The sequence below is a fragment of the Homo sapiens genome, chromosome 11 (assembly GCF_000001405.40).
Source record: "Homo sapiens chromosome 11, GRCh38.p14 Primary Assembly".
Lineage (NCBI taxonomy): Eukaryota > Metazoa > Chordata > Mammalia > Primates > Hominidae > Homo > Homo sapiens.
Window position 1 is genome coordinate 18,078,564 of NC_000011.10, and position 27,628 is coordinate 18,106,191.

A 27,628-nucleotide genomic window follows, 5' to 3' on the forward strand; every position below is an offset into this window, starting at 1 on the left:
GCGTGGTGGCTCACGCCTGTAATCCCAGCACTTTGGGAGGCCGAGGCGGGCGGATCATGAAGTCAGGTCGAGACCATCCTGGCTAACACGGTGAAACCCCGTCTCTACTAAAAATATTTAAAAAATTAGCTGGGCGTGGTGGCTGGTGCCTGTAGTCCCAGCTACTCGAGAGGCTGAGCCAGGAGAATGGCGTGAACCCGGGAGGCGGAGCTTGCAGTGAGCCGAGATCCCGCCACTGCACTCCAGCCTGGGCGATAGAGCAAGACTCCGTCTCAAAAAAAAAGAAAAAAAATTAAAAACAAACAAACAAAAAAACAACAAAAAACATGCTCTCAGAAAAAAAGTGAAATTCATATGCACTGAGGTAAACATAACTAATAACCTCAAGTATTATTCTTAATCAGTGTTTGCATCTTAAGCTTAAACTTAAACAAAAAAAAAACCAAGAGTGGAATTTTCGTGTCAGCTAGCAGGTAGGAGTGATTTCATCAGTGCCTTTGAAATCTCATACTGAATATAGTCAATTCAGTCTACCAATAAGGTCAGCACTGAGGACATGCGAATATACATACAGTGTAGTATATATAAACCTACCAATGAGATTTCACCTGTAAGATTTTACTTTTATGTTCCAGTTCTTTTCAGCAGTGACACTTCCAACCATAAACCTACCTCTAAACTGGAAATCATATTATCTCTTACCAATAAGATTACTGTTTTTATCACCAAAAATCTGGTTTTATCACCAAAAATCTCTCAAGGAAAGAAAACAAAGTATGAGGCAAGACCAATGCTTTAAAGCCAAAAAACTGATATAAATTGGGAAGGGGCTATACCAAAAGTGAGGTTCAGAAAGCTGGCTTTGTTATTCCTAACAGATATTTTCTTAAAAATCTATTAAAAAGCACCCCCCCAACCCAGCCAAACACACATAAAGACTTGGTAGGAAAAAGCCCCTTCTCTTTCTCCCTTTTTCTTCCTGAATGTGGATAAAGGCCCAGAGATGGCACAGCCCCCTTAACCACAAGGCAATAAACATGAACGCAAAGGCCTACCTGGCAGACCACGTGAAGGGTGAAAGGAGCCACCTCATTACATCTGGATTTTTGCATAAGGTTCCTGAAAGAGATCAGATTCAGCTGCTACAGGAGGGTTTCTGTTACTGCAGCTGAATATACTTAACAGTGGATACAAAGACGTAATTCTCACTTAAAAAAATCAAATTAGGCTGGGCACGGTGGCTCACGCCTGTAATCCCAGCACTTTGGGAGGCCAAGGCGGGCAGATCACGAGGTCAGATCGAGACCATCCTGGCTAACACAGTGAAACCCTGTCTCTACTAAAAATACAAAAAATTAGCCAGGCGTGGTGGCGGGCACCTGTGGTCCCAGTTACTCGGGAGGCTGAGGCAGGAGAATGGCATAAACCCAGGAGGCGGAGCTTGCAGTGAGCTGAGATCGCACCACTGCACTTCAGCCTGGGCGACAGAGTGAGACTCTGTCTCAAAACAAACAAACAAACAAACAAAATTAACAGCTATGAAGAAAATCAACACTGATCTCGCACATATCCTAAAAAGAACCTCAATGATAAGCTTACATTTTTGCTTTCCTCAACTGAGGATGATAAATATCACATAAAAAGAGGGGTGACAGTGGTGAAACCTCAGATTCCAAAGTCAAAAAAAGTGAGACAAGTCTAGGACAGAAAAATGTTAACACCAGACAATTATGGTCTAATATGGGCTTTAGTTAATATTTCCAATAAGTCAATTTCAACTGTCAGTGAGAAAAATAAAGTTTATTTCTTGTACAGAAGTAATTCCAATTCAGGTTTTAAGTCTGAACCTTCAAACTTGGGAAGTTTTTTTCCAAGTCATCAGCAAGCGCCTTATCAACTTCACGTAGGATTTTAATAAAATCTTCCACCTGTGAGTCAAACAAACAAACAAAAATCAAACACAGAAGAGAAAAACGTGCTTTAAGGTACTGATTGCTCTACCTGTGGTTTCTAAATGGTCCAATGGAAAAGAAATGCTGGCAGATCTCCAGATGATAGTAACAGTACTTCCTAAGCAGTCTTCTAAATCATTCTCAAGGAAATGACTATGCTTTCCCATTCCGTTTTACTCTTGAGCTAGTACTTCTCCCCCCGCCTCTTCTTTACAGTCTGTTCCCACATTCTGTCCTTCATTTTCCTGAAAAAGTTCCTATTTTGAAATCTGATTCTAATGGTAGGAAATGTGATGTCATTTGAAGAACCATAAAAACCTACTGACTATTCCCAAGAATCTGATTTTGGCTTAATATAGATGTTATCTACTTCATAACAGAAAGGAGTACTATAAATTCAGAGCTTATTTTTTTCCTCTTAGAATTGTTACTCCCAATACTATTATGAATTTTCCAGTAGTCATCTTTTTTTCCCTCAACTTTTATTGTAGACTCAGGGGAGTCTAAATGTGCAGGTTTGTTATAAAGGTATATTACATGATGCCGAGGTTTGAGGCACAGATGAACCTGTTACCCAGGCAGTGAGCTTAGTACCCAATAGGTAGTTTTTCAGCCCTTGCCCTCCCTCTCTCCCTCCCCTCCTCCTGTGGTCCCCAGTGTCTACTGCTCCCATTTGTATGTCCATAGTATCCAATGGTTTAGCTCCTACTTCCAAGTGAGAACATACGGTATTTGGTTTTCTGTTTCCAGCAGTCATCTATCTGACAAAGGCATTAAGTCATATAAATTGTATATACTATCATTTTTGACAATGACCTCGAAATCAAGTGCTTACTTGAAAACATTTAGTAATCCTACAAAACTTGGCCACCTATATACATTTACCCATACTCACCACAGGGCTATAGAAAGGAAGAAGGTTTTGAAATGCAGAGGAACACTTCTGTTTGCTCAACTGGCCTTCCTTTACTCCCTGAGCCACCGTCTCCTAAAACAACAACAAGATTTAATGTCAAAAAAGGAAAATTTTTCAAGCTTTAACTAGTGAATAAAAACAAATCAGGATATTCAATTCCCTCCTGACTTCATAGGCATTTCAAATGTCCCACCTGAACCCACCAACATCAAGGAGGCTTATGTAACCCAAACATGTTCTCCACTGTCGTCTTTACTTTAGTGAAGGGCACCACCATCCACCCTGCTACACAGACTACAAACTTGGAACACAGCCAAGACTTTTCCTTCTCCCCTCCTGCTGACTCCTCCCGGCAAGTGCTCAATTCTATTCTACCAAATCTCTCTTACCCCCATCCCTCCTCTCCATTCAAACTTCCATTGTTTAGGCTGCCATCATTTTTCAGATTATTCTTGAAGATTACCAACCACAAGAGCCTGTTAGTTGATCTCCTGCCCTCCAGCCTCAACTCTCTCTACTCCTTCCTCTCTATTGCTTTTGGAGTAATCTTTCTAAACTGATCGTATCACTTGGTGCTTAAAAGTAAAAAATCTTTAGTAGTTCCTCAGCTTTTTCAAGATGAAGTCTAAATCCCCTAAATATGACATAAGAATTTGCATGACATAGCACTCGTGTATTCTCAGCCCACCTTTCTTTGATGTTCCCACCACTTAAAAGTTAAGAAATATCGATGTCCCTTGCTCCAAAAAACAGAAACAACAGCAAAGAATGGGAAAAAAATACATGCGATAAATATGGAAAAGATACATTATTACCCAAGAAATTCATACAAATAATCAAAATGGATAAATTATTAAAAGGTAGGAAACAAATTAACATACGACATCCAAATATTTCAATCTCATTAATTTAAAAATGCAAATCAAAGTAAGACACAATTTATTACCTGAACTTTGACATAAAAATTATAATACCCAATAATAAGCGTCAAGTAAAACCAACATTTTCACATATAAATAGCATTTTGACAAAATATGGCCATCATGACTTAGCCATCTTCACATTTATAATGTTGAATCCAGTAATTTAAATTATATAAAACCTGCTAAGGTAATAACCCCAAATCTGGAAAATACAAATATGGAAAAGGGAAGCAAGACAACTAATAAAAAAAAAATCACCAGAATAAGAGAAACTTTTTGTTTCATTTTGTTTTTTGAGATAGGGTCTCACTCTGTCGCTCAGGTTGGAGTGTAGTGGCACAGTCTGGGCTCACTGCAGCCTCGACCTCCTGGGCTCAAGCAATCCTTCCATCTTTGCCTCCCAAGTAGCTAGGATCACAGGCGTGTGCCACCATGCCCAGCTAATTTTTGTATTTTTTGTAGAGATGAGGTTTTGCCATGTTGCCCAAACTGGTCTCAAACTCCTGGGCTCAAGTGATCCACCTGCCTCAGCCTCCCAAGTGCTGGGATTATAGGCGCCTGGCCAAGAGAAACTTCTTAAGGAATACTCTTTAAAAAATTAAGTGGGTATGAATAAATATATTCTTCACAGCTATATTTATAACATTTTATATTCATAATACAATATATTCATAACATATTCATAATACATTTCTTTCCAAATATATGGATAGAAAAAACATGGTCAAAAGAAGAATATTAATAACCATTGAACATATTCAGGGAGAATGTTCCTTAAAAGAAGTTTGCAGTAAATTTTGAAAACTGATTATTTGGTAAATTAGGTTTAAACTGGCTCTCAGTAAAAAAGTCTTTCATCTAGAATCAAGAAAAATGTTTATAATACAGTGTTAAGGGAAAACAGTAGTCTATAAAAATTGCATATGCTGGGTTAAAGTATATGAAAAATGCATTTATAAAAACACATGCATGCAAACATAGGCATATGTCTGTCACACGTAAATATACCAAACCACATCAGCTAGTTGTTTTTAAGATTATAAACTCATGGTGATATTAAGATTTTACTTTATTTTCCCAAATTATATATTACTTTCATATTTAAAAAAAAATAAAGTTTGAAGCGTTAAGCAACCCACACTTTCTTTTGCTTATGACATCATCAATACTTCTTTCCTACCTTTGTTAATGCCTGAAAAATATTAGAAAGAAATTCACATAAAATATCCTTTAAGATTTTCAAGTGGAAATCATCTTGGGTTAAATCAGTCCTTTTAGTTTCCTCTGTGTTAGACTCTGCCGAGTTCTCTGGTTTTTTCTGACACTGTTCCATATTTTGTAAGACCCGAATGAGGCTGTCAATTAGAGGAAGATCTACTGTATAAACAAATCAAGAAGCATGGAATTGGCCAGTTAAGTTTGGTTTTTCATTCATATGTATTGAATTAGTGCTAGACATTATTATTTTGGGTATTACAGATACACTGGTAACATCAGCAAGATGTCAGCCCATAAGAGGCTTACATTTTTATACTTTCAAATAAGTAAATAAAACAGACTATTTCAGGTTTTGGTTAAGTTCTATGAAGGAAATAAAAGAGGAATATAATATAGCAGCCTAGCAGGGCTAGCTCTCTGACAAGGTAACATTGAGTTGAGAACTAAAGCAATGAAGCATCAGCAATTAAAATACCCTAGGAGGTCAGGGGTGGTAGCTCACGCTTGTAATCTGAGCAGTTTGAGAGGCCAAGATGGGCGGGTAGCTTGAGCCCAGGAGTTCGAGACCAGCCTGAGCAATATGGTGAAACCGTGTCTTTACAAAAAGTACAAAAAAATTAGCTCACAGGATTTTTCTACCACTACCACTGTTACCATCTTGGTCCAAGTTATAACATTTCTTGCTATGAGTCAATTATGAAGAATCTCTAAAAGCCTCCTAACTCATGTCCCTTTTGTACCCATGACTCCCCATATTTCTCATCAAAACAGCAGCCTATTAAAGCCAGCTCATGCGTAGGCAACTTCTGCTTAAAACCCACCATGGTTCCCCACCTCATTCAGAGGAAAAGGCAACATCAGGCCCTCCATACTCTACCTCTCTGGCTCCATGTGCTACTTTGCTAAATCCACCCCAGCCATATGGGATCTCACTGTTCCTCCTCAAAGACACCAGGCATACTTCTGGTTGAAGGCTTTTACACTTTCCATTCCCTCTGTCTGGAATGTTCTTCTCCCCAAGTATGCACATGACTCCCTCCATTCTGTCCCTAAGGACTGTACTCAATGCCACCTTCTCAATGAGGTAACGTATCTACAAATGAAGATCTTAAAAATATTCAACATTCCTTTTTTATTAAAAACTCTTAATAAAATAGAAACAGATTAATATTTCCTTAAATGGTAAGACATATATCTGTTTTTGGAGGGGGGGTGCGGAGTATTGCTCTGCTGCCCAGGCTGGAGTACAATGGCGTGATTTCAGCTCACTGCAGCCTCTGCCTCCCAGGTTCGAGCAACTCTCCTGCCTCAGCCTTCTGAGTAACTGAGATTACAGGCATGCGTCACCAAGCCTGGCTAATTTTTGTATTTTTAGCAGAGACAGGGTTTCACCATGTTAGCCAGACTGACTTTGAACTCCTGACCTCAGGTAATCTGCCCGCCTCAGCCTCCCAAAGTGCTGGGATTATAGGTGTGAGCCACAGCACCTGGCTGTAAAACATATATCTTATACCCAATAATGCTTAACAATGGAACTCTAGGATTATTCCTACTAAAATCAGGAAGAAGGTAAGGATGTTTTCTACCATCACTATTATTTTACACCAGAGACTCTAGGCAACCCAGAAAGACAAGAAGAATAAACCAGAGATAGACAAGTGATAAAATATATCTAACTTAAGCCAAAGCACTATCAGATAAAGCCCAAAGATTATTACTGGAACGACTACTAAAAATATTAAGAATTTGGTAAGGTTACAGGATACAAAGTTAATATACCAAAATCAATAGCCTTCATATATTCCAACAATAATAATCAGTGGAAGAAAATATGTCACAGACAATAGTAAACCCAAAAGATACAATTATCTAGGAATGAAACTAATAAGAAATATCCAAGATCCATATGAAGAAACCATTACTGAGGGACACAAAAAAGACCTGAACAAATAAAAGGGCATAACATATCCTATCAAGTTAACACGATGTCAACAAAAATGTCAGAAATTTTTTGTTTTTGGAACTCAAAGTTAGTGATAAAAATAGTTAAAAACATTCTGAAAACTTAGAATGAAGAGGAATTTGCCTTATTAGGTATTAAAACATAAAACCTTAATATTTAAAAACACTATGGCTACTAATATATGAATACAGCAATGGAACTGAACAGAATATATAGGGGAATTTTAAAAATAATGATGAAATTTCAAATCAGTGTGGGTAAGCTGGATTATTCACTAAATGATGTTGAGATAACTGGGTAGCCCTCTGGGAAAAAACTGATACCACTAGAACCAAAGTTATCAAAGGGGGAAAAAAAATTAAAGCCACACTTCACATGTGACACGAGAATAAATTCTAAATGAATCATGAATTTAATTGTGGTCATAAAAACAATTCTGTGAAAGAATATGTGTTTATATAGGAAAATATTCATTTTATATTTCTAAATGAAATGTTGGCTAAAAAGCAGAATTAAATATATGTGCATGTGTGGGATGGTAAGATTACAAACATCATGTTTCCTTGATATTTTTTATAAATTTTTCGGCAGGGTGCAGTGGCTCATGCCTGTAATCCCAGCACTCTGGAAGGCAAGGCAGGAAGGTCATTTGAGCCCAGGAGTTTGTGACAAGCCTGGGCAAGATTGTGAGACCCTGTCTCTATAAATATTTAAAAACTAGCCAGGTGTGGCGTCATGTGCCTGTAGTCCCAGCTACTCAGGAGGCTGAGGTGAGACAATCACCTGAGCCCAGGAATTCAAGGTTGCAGTGAGCTATGATCCTGCCACTGCACTACAGCCTGGGCAACAAAATAAGACTCTGGCTTTAAAATAAGTAAACAGGCCAGGTGGGGTGGCTCACGCCTGTAATCCCAGCACTTTGGGAGGCCGAGGTGGGTGGATCACCTGAGGTCGGGAGTTCGAGCCCAGCCTGGCCAACACGGTAAAAACCCGTCTCTACTGAAAAAATACAAAAATTAGCTGGGCATAGTGGTGTGCGCCTGTAATCCCAGGTACTTGGGAGGCTGAGGCACGAGAATCACTTGAACCCAGGAGGCAGAGGTTACACTGAGCCAAGATTGTACCACTGCACTCCAGCCTGTGCAACACAGCAAGACTCTGTTTCCAAAAAATAAAAATCAATAAAAAATAAAATAAATAAATATGATAATAAAATAAATTTTTGAAGTTTAGCATGTAATGTTTTTATAATTAGGGAAATGAAAGCATTTTTTAAAAGGGAGAAATAAATGAAATGAAAAACAGTATGAGCCTGGGAAACTGTACTTGCCTTTTTCTATCTTTAGATACTCTTGCTCAGTCTGTGAGGCATAGATGGCAGACAACACTGAAAAAACAGAGGCTAGCACTGTTTTCTGTTCTTGAAGAATGATGGGTGGATCATCAGACTGGCAGAATTCATGGCAGACCAGGTCAAAAAGTAAATTCCAAATGTCTTTTCCAGTGTCAGGACAATGTACTTAATAAAGAGGACAAATAAAGCAGTACTTTAAAATCAGCAAACAATTAAATGAGTAACTGTAGTGCATCCCGATAAACCACCTTACCAATTGCTTGAATTCCATCATCCACTGTAGTAAGCAGTTGTAAAATGTGCATGTAAACATCAAGCCATTCTGGATTTTCAGAACTAAATAGGAAAAGTAAAAGCACTGAATCAACAACTTTACTGTCCAGGGGATTCCAATCATTCCTCCATTCAATAAATATTTATTACTCTGCCAGCCACTGTTCAAGGTGCTGAGGATAAAACAAGGAAAGGAACGAAGTCTCTGTGTTCGTTAGAGCTTTTATATTCTAATAGGGGAAACAGCAAAAAATAAACAAATATTATATAATATAATCAACACACACAGGACAAGAAGTAAAAAAACTTTTTGGCTCTATCTCATAAAAGCAACAACGCAGAAACCTACCAGTTGATACTTTATCATTTTGGTTTGCTTGAATAATCAGAACAAAAAAAGACTGCGATTTTTATAGTATGAACGTTAAGGTCCGCTGCATCACGCATCAACAATAATGATGTTCTGAAAATGTCTCAGGATTAACCTAGCTCCCTAGCTGAGAACACTAAAACCATGTAAGTCTAATTCTTATGATCAACCGTTTGGATTCTCAAAAATCTAAATAGTTTGGAAACTCAAAATCTTAGTTCTTCAACCAAACAAGTGAAAAGACAGTGAACAATTAAAACAATGGTTTGGCAAATGTTTATTTAAGTACTTACAAATTTCAGGCACTATGTTAGGAGTTGAGAAAACAGATGTATAAGATGTTATCCCTACCTTCATAAACTTTATACTCTAAAAGGAAAGAAGATTCCAAGTGGGGTAATTACAATAAAGTGGTACTAATGTAGCACTATGGGCTAGGAACTTCACAAAGCAAGGAGACTTAGTTTGCAGGGTCAGGGAAGGTATCTTAAGAAAAATGATGTTTACACAGAAACATGAAGGGGCAAAGAAGTGTCTGAGGTGGAGGAAACATACTGTGCAAGGGCCTGGAGACAAGACAGCCTGGTTCAGTTGAAGAAGTGACGCAAACTTCACATGACTGAAACGCAGAGTACAAGGAATAAGGATAGCGCTACTGGGTCCATAAGCTGTACTTTATTTTTTTGAGAATTTTTCATTTATTTCATTCTTTTTTCCCCTATTTTATTTATTTATATTTTGGATTCAGAAGGTACATGTTGGGGGTTGTTACATGCATGATGCTGAGGTTTGGGAATATGGATGGTCCCATCACCCAGGTGATGTATGTAGTACCCAAGCTGTGTTTGTTTGTTTGTTTTTCTGGACCTTATCCTAAGGAAGGCAACTGAAAAGACCGAAGCATGAGAGTGAAATGAGTGCGTACTTTGCAAAAACAGCTTTAAAGTCTAGGCTTGGGAAGAGCAAGCATAGAGGCAGGGAATTCAAGTAAAAGAATGTGGCAGTTCTCCAGATGAGAAACAATAATGGCTTGATTGGCATGGATGGAATCCCAGAAAATGTCAGGAATAAGGGTTGGGAGTTGACTGCAATGGGAAAATACTGGGGCAGGAAAGATTCAGTAATTGGCTTCTCCATTTCTTCTACATTATCCAAATAGGATAATGATTACATCATTTACTGAGATTGAGAATACTGATGAAGCAGGTTTAGGGAAAGATGATGAATTTATCCCTCACTTGGATAAAGGACACAAAATTAATAGGTTTTGATGTGGCTTACTCAGCACTAAGAATGCACTAAGAAAAACACTAAGCAGATCAATTTAAAAATTAATTTTCTAGTGATTAGCAATAAACAGTTTTAATGACCTGTAAGGCTTAGTAATCACTCTTGGCAAGACATCAGAGTCCCAACATCGGTCACTTATTGAAGACTGGCATATAAACACAAGGAGCAAAAAAAAGCAAATGATGTGCAACGTTAATGAAGTTGTTAAATGTTCAATGTAAAATAAAGCACAAGAAAATGTTTTCTCTTTGATTTAAATTACATAAAATATGGTAAGACAGAAACCACAGTTAATGTTGAGTAACAGCCTATAGCTAAATGATAATATAACAGGAACTTTGTAACCACTATACAGGTTGCATCACAAATAGTAGTAGTGAATTAACGTAACAAGGAGTGACTATGTACTTTATTCTGTTGTAAGGAATATAAGAAGACTTTTATATCTGAGAATACTTCTAGCAATTGCATTTTCCCAGAACATTTTACACAAAAGAGCTCACCTACCGTACTTGTTTGGCAGCTTCAAGTATACAGGGCACAAGCCGAAACACTGGCTGCTCTTCAGACTCTTCCTGGGGTTGGTCCAGAGGCTGAGCAGCCCCATTTCTGACCCATTCTAACATTAGTTTCTCATCCAAATCAAAGAGCTTGTCCACAACCTCCCCCACCTTCACCAGCAAGTCAACTGCAGAGAATAAAACAGATATTGAAATGAAAAACAAACTGCTAAAAGCAATAGGGTTAAGCAAAATTCCTAAAGCTATTCTAAGAAAACCAAATCTTGCCAAAGCAGTACTTATTCTAAAGGGTGATTTACTTATCTTTTATGTTTAAATTTGCTTATCTTTCCTCATTTTTAAATGAGGAATTTATCAGTGTCCCAGGAGTTTAAGAAATTTTGTATCTTCAATCAAAAAACTTTCTCAAAAAAACAAACAAAAAGCTGGACATGGTGGCTTACACCTATACTCCCAACACTTTTGGGAGCCCAAGGCTGGATGACTGCTTGAACACACGAGTTGGAGACCAGCCTGGGCAAGAAAGCGAGACCCCGTCTCTACAAAAAATTTTAAAATGAGCTGAGCATGGCGGTGCATGACTATAGTCCCAGCTATTGGGGAGATTAACAGAAGGATACCTTGAGATCAGGAGTTTGAGGCTGTAGTAGGCTATGATCACACTACTGCACTCCAACCTGGGTGACAGAGCAAGATTCTGTCTCAAACAAACTTCATTACCTTGCACTCAAGGCTTTTTTTAAAAAGGTGACTTCTAGAAATAGTTACATGGTTTCCTAAAAATTAGATACAATTTAAAACATTTTTTTTCTAGAGTACATGATGACTTACCATTTGTTGAACTTGACATAATGAAGCAAATGCTATCATAAATAGCTGGATGTTCCTGGATCCTTTCAACCCAAACACTGGCCACTTCTGCCTGGGAAAGGCAAGTAAGCAACAACCTACATGGTAAACGTGGGTTGAATTTCTACTTTTCAAAAAAAAAAAAAAAACAGTAAAGGAAATTCGAAAATAAAAAATTAACTTTTTTTTCTTATCTACTCTTATGAGTAACCTTATAGAATTCATAAAAGGAAAAGCATACCTGCTTGTTTCCAGCAGAGTAGGTGGGTCTGAATCATACAAACAGTGCAATAACACCTGCCTACAAAAACAAAGAAGTTAACCGATATGCCTCACTTCTCGCATTTAAAATATCAGAGTTTTCATTTAATTTTTTGAACATCTTTATTGTGAAATACAGCATATATTCAGAAAAGCTCAAAAGATACAAATCTATAGTTAATAAATAATTATAAAGCAAACACTCGTGTTTCCAAGAAACAGAACAGAGCTGCATCTTTGTAGTCACCATGTGTCCATTCCAAATCACAATTCTCTTTCCCACCTAGAAATGATGACCATTCTGATTTTTCCAGCAATCATTTCCTTACTTTGCACTATAGTTTTATTATTTTATATATTTTGGTGTTGCTTTATACTGCAGGTAAAAGGATTAAGAGGACATGCTGAATAAATAGACATAATCTGGGAGGTTATTTGGATTCATGAAGACAGTCAAGGAGGGGAGACAACATATGAAATAAATTATACTTATTGAGTCTTCATTTATTTGCTGAAAATTATACATGTAAGATCTACCCATGTTGTTTCTTTAGCTGTTATTCTTTGACAGACTGCTGCAGAGCACTCCATTGTGTGAAAATAACACAATTTATTTTTCCAGACTACTGTTGATGGACATTTCTGTTGATTCCAATTTGGGGCTATTTCAAGCAATCCTCCTACAATATTTGTTAAGAGTTATCCTGATGCACACGTGCACAGTTTCTCTTACCATATATGCCCACTATGAGCTGGTCACAGCACATGCATATGTTCCAACGTGACCAGATAATGCCCAACTAAAGTGGTTCAACAAATTTATATCCCATCAGCAATATAAATTGCACCACACTAATATTAAGACAAGCATTTAACTGAATTTATAACATTTGTTAACATTTCTCATTTTTGGATTTTTGATAGAGAACATTAGAGACCAAACATAATCTTAAGTCATTTGTTCCATGGATGATGGTAAATTACTGAGGAATAAATACTCTGAACTAGGATCTTAAAGTCCCTCCACAACTAGGAGTTCTCTCTTTCTGAGAAACCCAGGTACTTGAATCCTGTGATAAAACCCTCATGGCCCCAGCTCTGACAAAAACTGCCTAGAACAGTTTTCTTAACCTATTTTGGGTACAAATTTCTTTGAGATTCTGATTAAAAGCCATGAACCCTTTGCCTAGAAAACTAATACACTCACAAAATTCAGCATATAATTTCGGGGTGTTCTCCGAACACAGTAACCACTGGGGTTTCCTCCATTAAAACACCTTCTGCCCAGAACTTTACACATGGAGAAGAGAACGAGCCTCGAAGCAGATATCTGAAAGTCTTTTCATCAGAGAGGCAACCCTTTATCTTCCAGTTGTTGGCAAGTCTTACACTCTAAGTCAGAGCTCTCAGGATGACATTATTCAACAAATCTAGTTTCTGTAGACTCCAGCTGAGTCATTGGATTCCCTGCCCCTAAACTGTTTTGGATTCCAGTTGGCTGCCCCATCTCCAAGTTTTGGCCCACTGGTTCTTCCCCTATCTGGCTTATTGCCACCAGCTGACAATTCAGGTTCCTTTGCTACTGAAGAAAACAGGCTTAAATCCTGAATCATTTCAGTATCTCCTGAAGAAGCCCCTAGCTATCATCAACACACAATGAAGTTCCCACAGAGTGTTCATCAAGACAAAGAAAGGACTGTCTTTCAGATTTGCTACTTTTCCTATGTATTAGAATTTCCTTAAGGATATAAATGAATATATTAAAAAACATAATTATATAGTAAGACTTACCCAAGATTTTTATCACTGCTGATGGACACACATATCTCCTGGAAACAGGCCATATTACCTAAAATTCCCACACAGATTTCCTGCCAAATCAAATTTTACAAGTCACAATGGCTCTGAGACGAAAGACGTAAACAAAAATATCAACTTGAACAAAAACTTTCGCTGAGCCAAGTTTTGGGGCAAGGCGGAGGGGAGGCAGGATAAAGAAATACATATACTGCCTGTACCCTAACCTTGACAAGCTTACAGTATTTGAGAAGGGATGAAAAACGTAAGAACAAGAAAGGGCAAAGGCAGGAGCTATGCGAGAAGAACTTCTATCGATAAAATGAGTTTTAAATGATTGATAGGAATGAGATATGCAAACAAAAAGACAGACATTCAAATAAGGGGAAAGTATCAGCAAAGGCAGGAAGGGAATCATGTACATGGCGAATACTGTAGACAATAAAGTACTCTGGTTGTGGCACAAAGTGGGTGAACAGCATGAGGTAAATACTGCAGGTATAAAGGACTGAGATTAAGGGCTCTGAATGCCGTGCTGAAGAATTAGACTTAATCTGGGAAGTTATTTGGAATCATGAAGATGCTCAAGGAGGGGAGACAACATACTGAAACAGTATCTTAGGAAGATTACTCTGGTGGCGAAATGCATAATGTATTAGTGTAGTCCCTCTTTATCCATGGTTTCAGTTACCCATGGTCAACCTTGGTATAAAAGTACTAAATAGAAAATTCTAGAAATAAACAATTCATGTTTTAAATTGCATGCCTTTCTGAGCAGCACGATGAAATCTTGCACCGTCTCACCCAGGATGTGAATCATTCTTTTGTTCAACATATCCACACTGTATGTGCTGCCTGCCCATTAGTTACTTAGTAGCCATCTTGGCTATCAGATCGACCATCGGGATATCTCACAGGGCTTGTGTTCATGTCACCCTTATTTTACTTAATAATGACCCCAAAGCACAAGAGTAGTGATGCTGGCAATTTGGATATGCCAAGGAGCCGCCATTAAGTGCTTTCTTTACATGAAAAGGTAAAAGTTCTTGACTTCATAAGAAAAACAAACAAAAATGTATGCTGAGGTTGCTTAGGATCTCTAAGAACAAATCTATCCATGAAACTGTGAAGAAGGAAAAGGAAATTTGTGCATATTATAAATAGGGTTCAGTACTATCCTCGGTTTTAGGCATTGGGGGCCTTGGAATGCAACCCCCAAGGATAAGGGGAGACTAGTGTATAGGGAAAAGAAGTTGAAAAGAACTTAAGAATCTATCTCAGTAATAGTTAATTAATATGTAATAACAGTTTATTACCACTCACGGTGGCCAGGCATTACTCTAAGCATTTTCTGTGTATAATTTCATATAATAACTTAGGTGATAGGTACTAATAGTATCCCCATTTTTTCAGATGAGGAAACTAAGGCACAGAGAAGTTAAGCTACTTGCCTAAGATCTTAAGATCTCCAACTAGAACACGGCAGAGCTCCAGAGCTTGAGCATTTAACCACTATTCCAAACTGCACCTCAGTTATCAAGATGCAAGAGGAGGAGGGCCCTCAGGCATGGAAAAGGATGAAGCTGAGGAAGACTCTCAAGGTGAAAGCAAAATAATCCAGTGTGAGGATAAAGGAGAAAGCAGTTGAACTTGACTCCTAGCTTTCAAGTTGCCTCATTTCCCCATCAGTGATATTGGTCCCGTTGACAGGAAAACTAAAAAAGAAAGTGCATAAAAGGCTACAATGAGTTCAGATGGTACAGTGTTTCCAACCTTGCTGGAACATAAGAATCACTCAGGGAGCTTGTTAAAAATACAGATTTCCAAATCTCATCTCAGATCTACTGAATCATAATTTCCAGGGTAGAGCCTGGAAAGCTATTGTTTACCCAGCATATACCAGGTGACTTTTATGATTAGATAAGTGTGACCATAAATCACTGAGGACATACAGAATTCAGGGTTAGAGAGTACAGCTGACCCTTGAACACAGGTTTGAATGTGTGGGTCCACTCATAGGTGGATTTTTTCTAACCAAACTTGGACTGAAAATACAGTGTCCTCAAGATGCAAAACCTGCACAATATGCAGAGCTGACTTTTCATACACACAGGTTCCACAGAGCTGACTGCTAAATTGAGTATGTGTGGATTTCAGTATGGGGGAATGTCTTGCAACCATCCCCCATGTATACCAAGGGACAACTGTAGAGCGTGCAAGCAGAGAATGCCTGAACAAAGTTGGAGATGTGACATCAGTTATCAGAAGGGAAGTCGAGGCTTTGCTCCTACAGGCAGAGTTGCAACTTAAAGGTGTAAAGAACACATAAGTTCACTAGGAAAATGAATATAATGAGAACAAAGGATCAGGGCCTACACCTTAGAAAAAGTCCATATTCGGGACAGTATAAAAAAGGAAGAAAGAAAAAAGCCAATGAAAGGTGAGAGACGAGTGACTGAAGAGGTCAGAGACGACAGTGAGGTGACACAGGAGCTATAGAAATGGAATTTCAATAAAAAGTGGGTGGTCAAATGTTGGGAAAAGATTAAGAGTGAGTAGGGGCAGAAAAAAACCACATACATTTCCCTTATAAACTAAAGAGGGAATAACTGAACTTCCAATCAAAGATCAAGTTTTTCTTGGCTGTTCACTGGAATCACCTGGGGAACTTTAAAAGCTGCCCAGAGTCTCACACTTGGAGATTCTGCTTTAACTCATCTAGGGTATGGCCTGACCAAGATTTTCAAAAGTTCCCTAGGGTAAAGCTTCTCAGAGTGTGGCAATGCACCAGAGCACCAGCATCACCTGGGAACATATTAGGAATCCTGGACCTACTGGACTAGAAACTCTGGAGGGAGGCTCGGCAATTAGTGATGCGGGGACATGCTTAAGTTTGAGAGTCCCTGTCCCAGGTGATTCTAACATGCAGCCAAGGCTGAGAATCACTGTGGCAGCAGACGGTGGCCAGCGGATATAATACAACAATATGACTAATTCCTAAAAGGTGCCATTCCTGACATAAGCTTATTTCTTTATATACTAGTAGTGAGTAAATATATTTAAGACAGAAAAACTCAGTATAAAAATAGCATAATCATCAAATCTTATATTAATATAAGGAATCAAGGAAAAAACGGTTAATCAGGCCCTAATTCAGAGAGAACATTCTACTTAAATAAGAATTCTAATTCAACATTCAATTTGTAAAAATACACTATGGAATTCTCCATTTTATAATCTGAAAGAGAGGAAATACAGTACAGTGGTTATACTGAAGTCAGGCCTAGGCTGAAATCTCAGCTCCATTCTTTCCTAGCTGTGTGACCCTGAACACATATCTTCACCCAAGATTTAGTTCTTTGAAAGTATACCTCATAGTAGTAAGACCAGGTATTCAGTAAACAGCAGTTTTTCATAATTATAATTATTGAACAGATATTTACTAATCCATGATATGCATAGCACATGGCAATTTAATTGGCAATAAAGCACAGTACACTGCACAGTATATAAAGGCCTCTCCTTTAGTCTTTATCTATTGTTCTTGGCAGTTTACTAACAGCAATGACTACTGAAAGCTTACTTACTTACTTGGGAAGGTGTGGAAGGAAAAGTACCACTGTGAATTAACAGATGCAAATACTGAGAGGGGACAGAAGGCACACAAAGGGAGGCACGGAGACAGCATGAGACAGGGAGTAGAAAGGTCTGGCTAAATCAGAAGGGTTACCTGGCTATCCAGATTTTATGCTGGAAAGATGAGTTAGGTTCAGAGAGTAGAGGTCTTAAGCAGCAGGCTGAGTTTAGAATGGTTTTCAAGCAATGGTGGATTTTGTCAGTAAAAAAGAGAAATCAACTGAAAAATGGGAGGCCCAGGCTCTGTTCCTTGTTCTGATACATACTAGCAGCATAACAGTGGTTATGCCTAACTCGTCTCCACAGCTGGTAAATGAAAGTGCTAATTTCCCTGGTCCGGCCTGAATCTAAAATTCTATGATTTTCATAATTTTAAATTATTAAATTATTAATAATTTAATATTTTAAATTATTACAGGCATTTAGCTCACGCTTATAATCCCAGCACTTTGGGAGGCCAAGGTGGGAGGATCACTTGAGGCCAGGAGTTCAAGACCAGCCTGGGCAACATAAGGAGACCTTTGTCTCCACAAAATAAAAATAAAAATTAGCTGGGTGTGGTGGCTTACACCTATACTCCCAGTTACTTGGGAGGCTGAGGTGGGAGGGTCCCTTGAGCCCAGGAGGTCAAGACTGCAGTGAGCCGTGATCACGCCACTGCACTCCAAGCCCTGGAGACATAGTGAGACCCTGTCTCAAAAATAAAATAAAATAAATTTAAATAGCAAATTACCTAGGACCTGGCAATGTTCAATTAACATCTACAGGCTGATTTGTTGATTTATGGTCAGTAAGAAAATCAAAGTGAGAAAAATAAAAGACTATCCAGCACTATCTGTTCTTATTGCTTCAAAGAAGAAGGCTTTAGAAATGTACATACTTACTCTTAATCGAGGACACTTGGACTTGGCCAGTACTCCCATGAATATATCAGGAGCATTAAATTCTTGGAGAAATAAAGCCACGTCCTGAAAAGAAAAATGATTATTAACTTGGATGTTGAATATTCCTCCCTAAACCCTAAAGCTCAGGCAACCATAAAATTCTATATTAAAATTAGAATTTTACGCCAGGCGCAGTGGCTGACACCTGTAATCCTAGCACATTGGGAGGCCAAGGCTGGCAGATTGCCTGAGCTCAGGAGTTCAAGACCAGCTGGGCAACACGGTGAAACCCTGTCTCTACTAAAAATACAAAAAAATTAGCCGGGCATGGCGGCATGCACCTGTAGTCCCAGCTACTCAGGAGGCTGAGGCAGGCGAATCGCTAGAACCCGGGAGGCAGAGGTTGCAGTGAGCTGAGATCACGCCACTGCACTCCAGCCTGGGTGACAGAGCGAGACTCTGTCTCCAAAAAAAATAAAAAAATAAAATAAAATTAGAATTTTAGACACAAGAAAAAAAAAACACAGGCTTAGGAACTGTGTCAACAGACAAAAGTGATGTTAGAGAGTCTTTATGGTAACTAGTCCCAGACAATGGAACAATTTCATAAACAAATCTAAACTACCTACAATACTCCAGAGGATTATCCCACTCTTTTCTGCCCGAATCTATTTACCTTAATAATTTTTCTGCCCACTAGGAATTCTCATTAAACACATTCAAACACATTTGGTGATTACCTATCAGGTATTAAACTAGAAGCGGGGGACAAGGGAAAAAAGCAACACGCTGGGCGCAGTGGTTCACACCTGTAATCCTAACACTTTGGGAGGCTGGTTAGAAGGCCGAGGTGGGTGGATTACTTGAGCCCAGCTTGGGCAAACATAGTGAAAACCCATATCCACAAAAAATACGAAAATTAGCCAGGTGTGGTGGCACATGCCTGCAGTCCCAGCTACTTGGGAGGTTGAGGTGGGAGGATCACTTGAGCCTGGGGAGCTCAAGGTTGCAGTGAGCCATGACTTTGCCACTGTACTCCAGCCTGGGCAACACAGCGAGAAAAAAAGGAAAAAAAAAAAAAAGGTAAAACTTGGCTGGGCGAGGTGGCTCACGCCTGTAATCCTAACACTTTGGGAGGCCAGGACAGGCGGATCACTTGAGCCCAGGAGTTCGAGACCAGCCTAGGCAAACATAGTGAAACGCCATCTCTACAAACAATACAAAAATTAGCTGGGCATGGTGGTGTACCATCTGTAGTCCCACCTACTCAGGAGGCTGAGGTGGAAGGATTGCTTGAACCCGTGAGGCAGAGGGTGCAGTGAGCTGAGATCTCGCCACTGCACTCTAGCCTGGGCGACAGAGTGAGACTTTGTCTCAAACAAAAACAAAATTCCTTCTTGTCCTCCAAGAGCTTAAAACACGGTAGGGGAAAGAAGTCAAGAACTGCTATTGGGTCCTGTCCAAAACCAGAATTTGTGTTTTCAAAATCATCAATAGAATAAAAATTCTGATCACAATGTAACTGTGGCAGCCTCATAACTTCTTCCTACAGAGTCTGCCACAGTGCCTAAAGGGGCGTAACACACAGGTGACATGTGAGTGGACATGTGGCCCCAAATGAGCCAAATCTCACCTAGGAATGTAAGACACAAAAGCTAAGTCAGTTTGCTTGGGGACCTGCAATGTAAAATATATAAATAAAATTAAGTCTCTGGCTGTCCACTGCTTCAGATTTTCACTAAATGTGAGGTGTGTATTTGAGAAGCCTTAACTTAAAATATAAGCTGCATGGCTTATGTGAAAATTAAGGGCCCTGGAACATCTCAAAGAGACAGGCAATTATTCTCCACAGCAAGTGAAACCAGTAACCTGCCAGACAACTGACTGAGAGAGACACACTCTACTTACTAAAGGACCATGGTCAGAGAAAATAGTATTTTCAAAGATACACTCTAAACTGAAAGTCATAATGGCAGATTCTCTTCACTGTAAGTGATCAAGCTGTCCTGTGGGCAATTCTTTGCCACATGCAGAAATTTTTAAATTTAATGGTAATTCCTGGAGTAGCACAAGGGTGGCCTAACAATATCAACACCAACAGTAATAAAATTAACATTCATTGAACAAGTATTAAATGCCAGGCACAGTGAAGTGGCTTGCATGCTATCTCATTTAATTCTCAAAACAACTCTATCAACTAGTTATCATTGTTAGCCCCATTACACTCATAAGCAAACTGAAGTTTAAAAAGTGTAGCAACCTGCCCAAGATTATACAGTCTCAGCAGAGCAAAGCTAGGATTTGAACCCATGAGTCTGATTTGAGCCTATGGTCTTGTTTTTTAAAAGAGATGGGGGTCTTGCTATCCTGTCCATACTGGAGCAGTGGCTATTCACAGATTCACAGGCATTATCATAGCTCACTGCAGCCTCCAACTACTGGGCTCAAGTGATCCTCCTGCCTCAGCCTCCCAAATAGCTGGGAATACAGGCAAGTACCCAGCGAGACTATGTTCTTAACCAGCACAACATGCTACCTCTCAGGTATTCATCTATTCATTCATTACTCCCCAAATATTTTCTGAAAAACCTAATAGGCACTGTTTTAGGTTCTGGGGATACATCAGTGAACAAGCTAAATAAGGGCTCAGTCCCATGGAATTTTCATTCTAAAGAAATGAACAAACAATAAATATAAAACAACTAAACTACACAATTTCTAAATGCTACAAAGAAAATAAGATATGTGCTAGAAACCAAGATAAAGCGGGCTACTTTAGACATGACATTGAAAAGAAGGCATTTCAGAAGGGGTGACATTATGCTTTGATGAGAAGGAATTTAAATCCATCAGAGGACACATGTAACAGAGTGAAGCAATTCTGTGGGAACACCAAAACAAGACAGGTTAATTCTGACTGGAGTGTCTGGGGTGGCATCACAGAGGAGGTGACATTGAAGCCGGGCCATAAACAATGAGAAGGATTTTGCCAGCTGGAAGCCATTCTAAGCAGAGCGGCATGAATAGTGCCCATGGACACGTGAAAGTGCAGGAAGTATCTGGAGGTCTCTGGTCCTCGCACACTGAATTCATGGTTACAGAACGATAGGCGACAAGACTGAGATATAAACTCACCAGACTTTGCGCCAGGGACCTCAATTGTCAGTGGAGAGCTCAGTTCTGAGTGGTGCCTCAAGGGCACCTCTTGTAAGGGAGCAAAAGGAGGCCAAAGAACATGACTTTGCCCTGCACCAATAACCTCCTTCAAACAGTAGCGCTGTTTTCTCAATTTTAAAACTGAGACTTTCACCCTAAGAGTTCATTTAAAACACAGGTTTTATTTCTTTTTAAAAAAATTTGTTTAACCATAATTTATCAATAATTGTAGAATAGAAAGTAGATCTGAACAATACTCTCAACCAACCTGATCTGACATTGAGAATAAGATATTCCACCCAGCAACAGCAGAACACACATGCTTTTTAAGTCAACATGGTAAATATTTCAGGTTTACTTAAAACCATATTCTGGGCTATAAAACAAATCTCAACACATTTAAAAGGATTCAGTGTTCACCAACCACAGCAAGAGAAAGATAACTGAAACATTCCCAAATATTTGAAACTTACCTATAAACCAAAGAAAAAGTAAAGAATATTAGAAAGTATTCTGAACTTCTGCGGGCATGGTGGCTCACGCCTGTAATCCCAGCACTTTGGGAGGCCGGGGCAGGGGGATCACTTGAGGCCAGGAGTTCAAGACCAGCCTGGCCAACATGGCAAAACCCCATCTCTACAAAAAATACAGAGCGAGACTCTGTCTCAAAAAAAATTGTAAACACAGCATATCAGAAATTGTGGAATACTGGTAAAGCATAAATATTTAGGGAAAATTCTATAGTGCTTGATGTCTATCTTTAAAAAGAAAAGATTTCAAACTATAAAGTATGTGGACAACTGATTTTTGACAAAGACACAAAAGCAATTAGTGGAGAAAGGATCGTCTTTTCAACAAATGAACTTGAACAATTAAATATCCATAAGCAAAAAAATAAACTTCATCCATCCTTGCACCATATACTATACAAAAATCAACTCAAAATGGATCACAGACTTATATGTAAAACCTAAAATTATAAAACTTTTAGAAGAAAATGTAAGAAAACAACACAATTAAAAAGCAGGCAGAAGATTCAAACAGGTACTTCACCAAAAAAGATACACAGAGTACAAATAAACACATGAAAAGATGCTCATCATTAGGAATTAAGGAAGTCCAAATTATAATCACAATGAGCTATCATTACATACTTATTAGCATGGCTAAAATTAAGAAGACTGACCATACTAAGTGTTGGTGAGGTTGAGGAGAAATTGGACCTGGAATTATGTCTCATACACTGCTTGTGGTTATGTAAAATGGTAAAAAACTGCTTAGGAAAACAAATTGAAAGTTTCTTAAAAAGTTAAGCATACACCTACCGTATGATCCAGCCATGCCACTTGATATATGGTCTGGCTCTGTGTCCCCTCCTAAATCTGACCTTGAATTGCAATCCCCATAATCCCCACGTATCAAGGGCAAGACTAGGTGGAGGTAAGTGAATCACGGGGGTGGTTTCCCCCATGCTGTTCTCATGATAATGAGTGAGTCTCATGAGATCTGATAGTTTTATAAGCGTCTGGCATTTCCCCTGCTCGCACTTCTCCTTCCTGCCACCGTGTGAATAAGGTGCCTGCTTCCCCTTCCCCTTCTGCCATGATTGTAAGTCTCCTGAGGCCTCCCCAGCCATACTGAACTGAGAGTCAATTAAACCTCTTTCCTTCATAAATTACCCAGTCTCAGGTATTTCCTTATAGCAGTATGAGAATGGACTAACACACCACTCTAGGTATTCACCCAAGGAAAAACAAAGTATATGTCCATACACACTTGTATACAAAAGTTCACAACAGCTTTATCTGTAATAAGCCTTAAACAACTCCAACATTCATCAACAGGTAAAAAATAAATTGTGGTATATACATATAATGGAATACCATTCAGCAATAAAAAAAAAAAAAAAAGCCACTGATATACACAACATGGATGAATCTCAAAATAATTATGCTGTATAAAAGAGCCAGACCAAAAAAAGCATATGAGCACATTCATATAAAACTCTAGAATACATACTAATCTGTAGTGACAGAAAGCAGATCAGTGGTTGCCTGGAGGGGATGGAGGAATGGAGAGGCAAGAGGAAGAGACTACCAAGGACCATAAAGAAACTTTCAGGGGTGATGGGTATGCGCTGTATCCTGATTACAGTGACAGCTTAATCTGCGTACACATCCGTCAAAGTTTATTGGCTGGGTGCGGTGACTCACTCCTATAATCCCAGCACTTTGGGAGGCCGAGGAGGATGGATCATTTGAGGTCAGCAGTTCAAGACCAGCCTCGCCAACAGGGTAAAACCCTGTCTCCACTAAAAATATAAAAATTCGCAGGGATTGGTGGCTCACACCTGTACTCCCAGCTACTCTGGACGCTATGGCAGGAGAATCACTTGAGCCCTCGAGGCGGAGATTGCAGTGAGCTGAGATCGCACCACTGTACTCCAGCCTAGGTGATAGAGACTCCATCTCAAAAAAAAAAAAAAAATCAATGTCAATGATACTTCAAAACAATATGCAGTTTTTTGGTGTTAATTATACCTCAATAAAGTTTTAAATAAAATGACTGAAACAATGAATAGCCATTGACAATTTTTAAGAAAATGAGTACAATTAAGTCTGTATTTCCGGAAAAAAAGGTAACACGGGTGGCAATGTAGAGGACAGAAGGGAGGTGAAAGAGACTAAAACAAGGATTTTAATCAGGAAGCTATTGCTAAAGTCCAGGTAATAAAACAAGAAAGATTACATAGGTCATTTAATGTCTTTTGGCCTCTATTTTCTTAACTGTAAAATAAGGGTACTACCTACATCACAGGGTTATTGTGAAGATCAAATAGAATACTATATATGAAAATGCTTTTGAGCTATAGAATAAAATACAGATATTAAAACACTATGATTAATACTGCAATTACAGACATATAATTATTTATTGTCCTTTCCTTCTAATATTATCATGGTATATCAGTGGTCTTCTAACTCCTAACCTGCTGTCAAATATATGGCCAGAGCTCTCTTTAGGTAGGTAAGTATCAGAACTTTCCCGGCCTACATGTGTATAGGAATACATTCATAAGAGCTACGTATTTAGTCCGAATCTGTTGAGAGCTCAAATCCTCCAGCCTCAAAGACAGAAGTTTAGCATTTATAGCCCCTGGGATCTCATTCCCTATATCATATATGGGTGTGATTACAGACAGGAGATAAAGCCTTTCCCCAGAGTGAAGGACTGAACCGTTTTTAAAACATTCATTCACCATCTCCTCACCCAACAGTCTTCAGAGTTTTGTTTCCAGCCTCATACCTCATCCATTGACATATCCCATACTCTGCAAATTTCATTCTCCATTTCTTCATCAAGCTCCGTCAGCTGCTCCTCATCATCTGAGCTAGATTTGGTGTTTTCAGGGCTAACAATCTTCAGAAACACAAAGAAAGAAAACATGAATAAAAGTTGTCTACAATACTAACCAGGTACCCAAATACAGCAGGTGATCAAATAACATTTCCTCGTAACGCTGATGAGAAAAAAATTTGATTCCTGGCCAGGGCCACTGTCTGTGTGGAGTTTGCATGTTCTCCCCAAGAGTGCATGAGTCTGTTCCAGGTACTTTAGTTTCCTCCTACATCCCCCAAATTTGCACATTAGCACAACGGGTATCTAAATGGTCCCAATCTGAGTGAGTGTGGGTGTGTGTGTACCTGTGATGGGATGGCATCCTGTCCAGGGCTGGTTTCTGCCTTGCACCTTGAACTGCTGGTACAGGCTCCAGCCACCCTCAACCCTGAACCAGAGCAAGTGGGTTGGGAAATGGATGAATACAAATTATTATAAAACAAAAATCTGTAAAGAAGACAATAACCATAGAGATGCGTGACAATAATTATGTGGTAGGAAAGTGCTCAGTAAGCCTGCCTTATTTGTTATTGTTTTTGGACTGTACAGTAGTAAGAGGTGATCATTTTTGCTTTGTAAACATTTATTCCTTGATTTAACACAATCAAAGAATAAAGGTTGTAGTGATAATCACTACAACCACCATCACTCACTAACTCACCAAAACTGGGTGAATAATTATCTTGTTTTTATTAACCTTTCCTAAACGTATTATAGCTCACATTTATCTCAATGTTTAATATTAGAAGTGTTTTAGGTCCTCATTTAGAAGTTTGGTGATGTTCTTGTGTCCAGAAATATGCCACAGGGACTTAACTCTTGTTTATATCAATTAGCTATGGTAAAATTGGTTTCATTATCAGTAATTTTGCTTACAGTCACAATTTCCAAGAACCTACTGATGTTAAGTGAGCACTTACTTTAATATTAACCCATAATCGTTTAGAAGTCACAAAGAGGCTATCAGCAAAGTATCTTCTCTTGCAAAAATCTTCTTTTAAAAATGTAGTACCTTGGGTAGATCTACTCTTTCAACATTCACAAAGTAAATACTGTTGCTAGGCACTGGGGTAGATATACAAAGACAAGTAAGATATAATCCCTTACATTTAAGCTTTTTTTTTTTTTTAACTTTTAGGATCTAGTGGGGAAAGACATGTAAAGGGATAGTCATATTAGAAAAGGCAAAGTGATTCAACTGAATTGTGGACAAAGAGTTCTGGTAGCAAAAACGATGGACCAATGACCTATTCCTAGGAGAAGATGGGGAACCTTCCCTTAGGTGCTGATATTTAAGCTAAATTTTAAAGGAAGAATAGTAGTTTGTCATGTGAAGAAGGAGAGAAGTGAGTATTCAGAGGAAAGCACAAGAGTTCAGAGTTAAGAAAGGGCCTAGCATGTTTGGGGATGGTGAACAGTTCAGAGTTGATGGAACACAGTGTATCATGAGAAGATGAGGCTGGAAAATGTACAAACAGCCCTGGATTCCAAACTTCAAGAAACATGCATTTTTCTCCCAGGCAAAAAGAACTAAGAGCAGTATCATGAATAGCCCTGTCTTTAAAGAAGATTATTCTGGCAGCTGTGTAGAAAATTGACTGGAGAGGATAGACAATAGGAGGAGAGGAACCAATTAGGGAAACATGGGGGGAAGAAAACACATTTACTGACAGCCTCCTATAAGCCAAACACCATGCTAAGCACTCTGTTGCCATTATAATCTCACTTAACCTACACAATAACCTTATATATAATATAAATATTATAATCCCATTTTATAGAAATTAAGGGACAAATAGAGGTTCTGAGCCGTTAGGTGACCTGCAGCTAGTGGGTAAGGAAGCTGCGTTTTTTGTTTTTTTGAGACAGGGTCTTACTCCGTCCCCCAGCCTGGAGTGCAGAAGCTGGATCATAGCTCACTGCAGCCTCCAACTTCAGGCTCAAGCGATCCTCCAGCCTCAGCCTCCTGAGTCGCTGGGACTACAGGCGTGCACCGTCACGACCGGCTTTTTTTTTTTTTTTTTTTTAAGTTTGTAGAAACCAGGTCTATGTTGCCCAGGCTGGTCTCAAACTCCTGGCTCAAGCGATCCTTCCGCCTCGGCCTCCCAAAGTGTTGGGATTACAGAGGTGAGCCACCGCGCCTGGTCAGAAGCCACGTTTTTAATATAAAAGTTGTATAACCCTAAAGTCACCATTTATTCTATTACAACGATAGTCCATGAAATACATAAATTAAGGACCTGGGCTTCAGAAATGACAGTGGGGATGGGGAGCAAAACCCGAGGAATGCAGTTACACGATCATGTATTTTTGGAGAACTTGGGAAAGCAAAATAGAACGGCAAGTATTTCAGCATCCCTACCATTATACTTCCCTTTGTGTCGAGAGACCCCGAGGGGGCCCAGATAGTTTTGGGGTCCGCAGCGGCCGGCGAAACGCAAGGAGCAAGGTCCCGCAGCGCACGCCTGGGGAGGGGTCTTTGTGGGGATGGCGGCTCCCGGGGCAGGAGGATTCGCCAGAGGCGGAGCCCCGGTGCCTGGGGGATGTAGGGACACCCCACGCGTGGCGCGAGTTTCCACACCTGGATGAGTCCGCTGAGGACGCCGAAGAGCCAGTGTTTGCTGTAGACCGTGCTCCCTATGCAGTCTCCACCGGCCACCTCCTCCTCCTCCTCCTTGTCGCGACCCGGCGGCGGCGGCGAGGGGTTGCGGTCCATGACTTTGTCGCGTCCCGCGCTTGAAGGCCGTGCCGGAAGCTGCGGAGGAGACGACCGGCGCCCTAGTGCCAGAGCGCCCGGCGTACCCGGTGGGACTCCCCCTACAGCGCCATCTGCTGTTCGGAGCCTGGCCAGCTGCCAAGGCGGCTT

At 39.5% G+C, this 27,628-nt stretch overlaps 1 protein-coding gene across 1 annotated transcript, besides 1 other annotated feature; it reads right to left on the reverse strand.

The window, feature by feature from the left end:
- Positions 1-1,728: 1,728 nt before the first annotated feature.
- SAAL1 (serum amyloid A like 1) lies at positions 1,729-27,519 on the reverse strand. Its single transcript, NM_138421.3, has 12 exons — positions 27,344-27,519; positions 24,670-24,783; positions 18,208-18,291; positions 13,682-13,761; positions 11,871-11,930; positions 11,612-11,727; positions 10,767-10,947; positions 8,580-8,662; positions 8,303-8,491; positions 4,972-5,168; positions 2,848-2,940; positions 1,729-1,928 (listed from the first exon to the last, which is right to left on the reverse strand). Exons 1-12 carry the CDS (start codon positions 27,476-27,478, stop codon positions 1,836-1,838), a joined length of 1,425 nt encoding a protein of 474 aa, NP_612430.2. The 5' UTR covers positions 27,479-27,519; the 3' UTR covers positions 1,729-1,835.
- Positions 27,265-27,524: an enhancer, noted in NCBI's record as "active region_4490". NCBI's record gives its function as "activates an Ori minimal core promoter by ATAC-STARR-seq in GM12878 lymphoblastoid cells {active_cell/tissue: GM12878}" and the evidence as "EXISTENCE:reporter gene assay evidence [ECO:0000049][PMID:35858748]".

Excerpts from the sequence above, each read along its gene's own strand:
- SAAL1 (NM_138421.3), bottom strand. The coding sequence starts at position 27,478 with ATGGACCGCAACCCCTCGCCGCCGCCGCCGGGTCGCGACAAGGAGGAG. Across the intron at positions 5,169-8,302 it reads GTATCTAAAGATAGAAAAAG|TAGATCTTCCTCTAATTGAC; the intron begins GCAAGTACAGTT and ends TTGTTTATACAG. Across the intron at positions 1,929-2,847 it reads TTCCTTTCTATAGCCCTGTG|GTGGAAGATTTTATTAAAAT; the intron begins GTGAGTATGGGT and ends TTTGACTCACAG.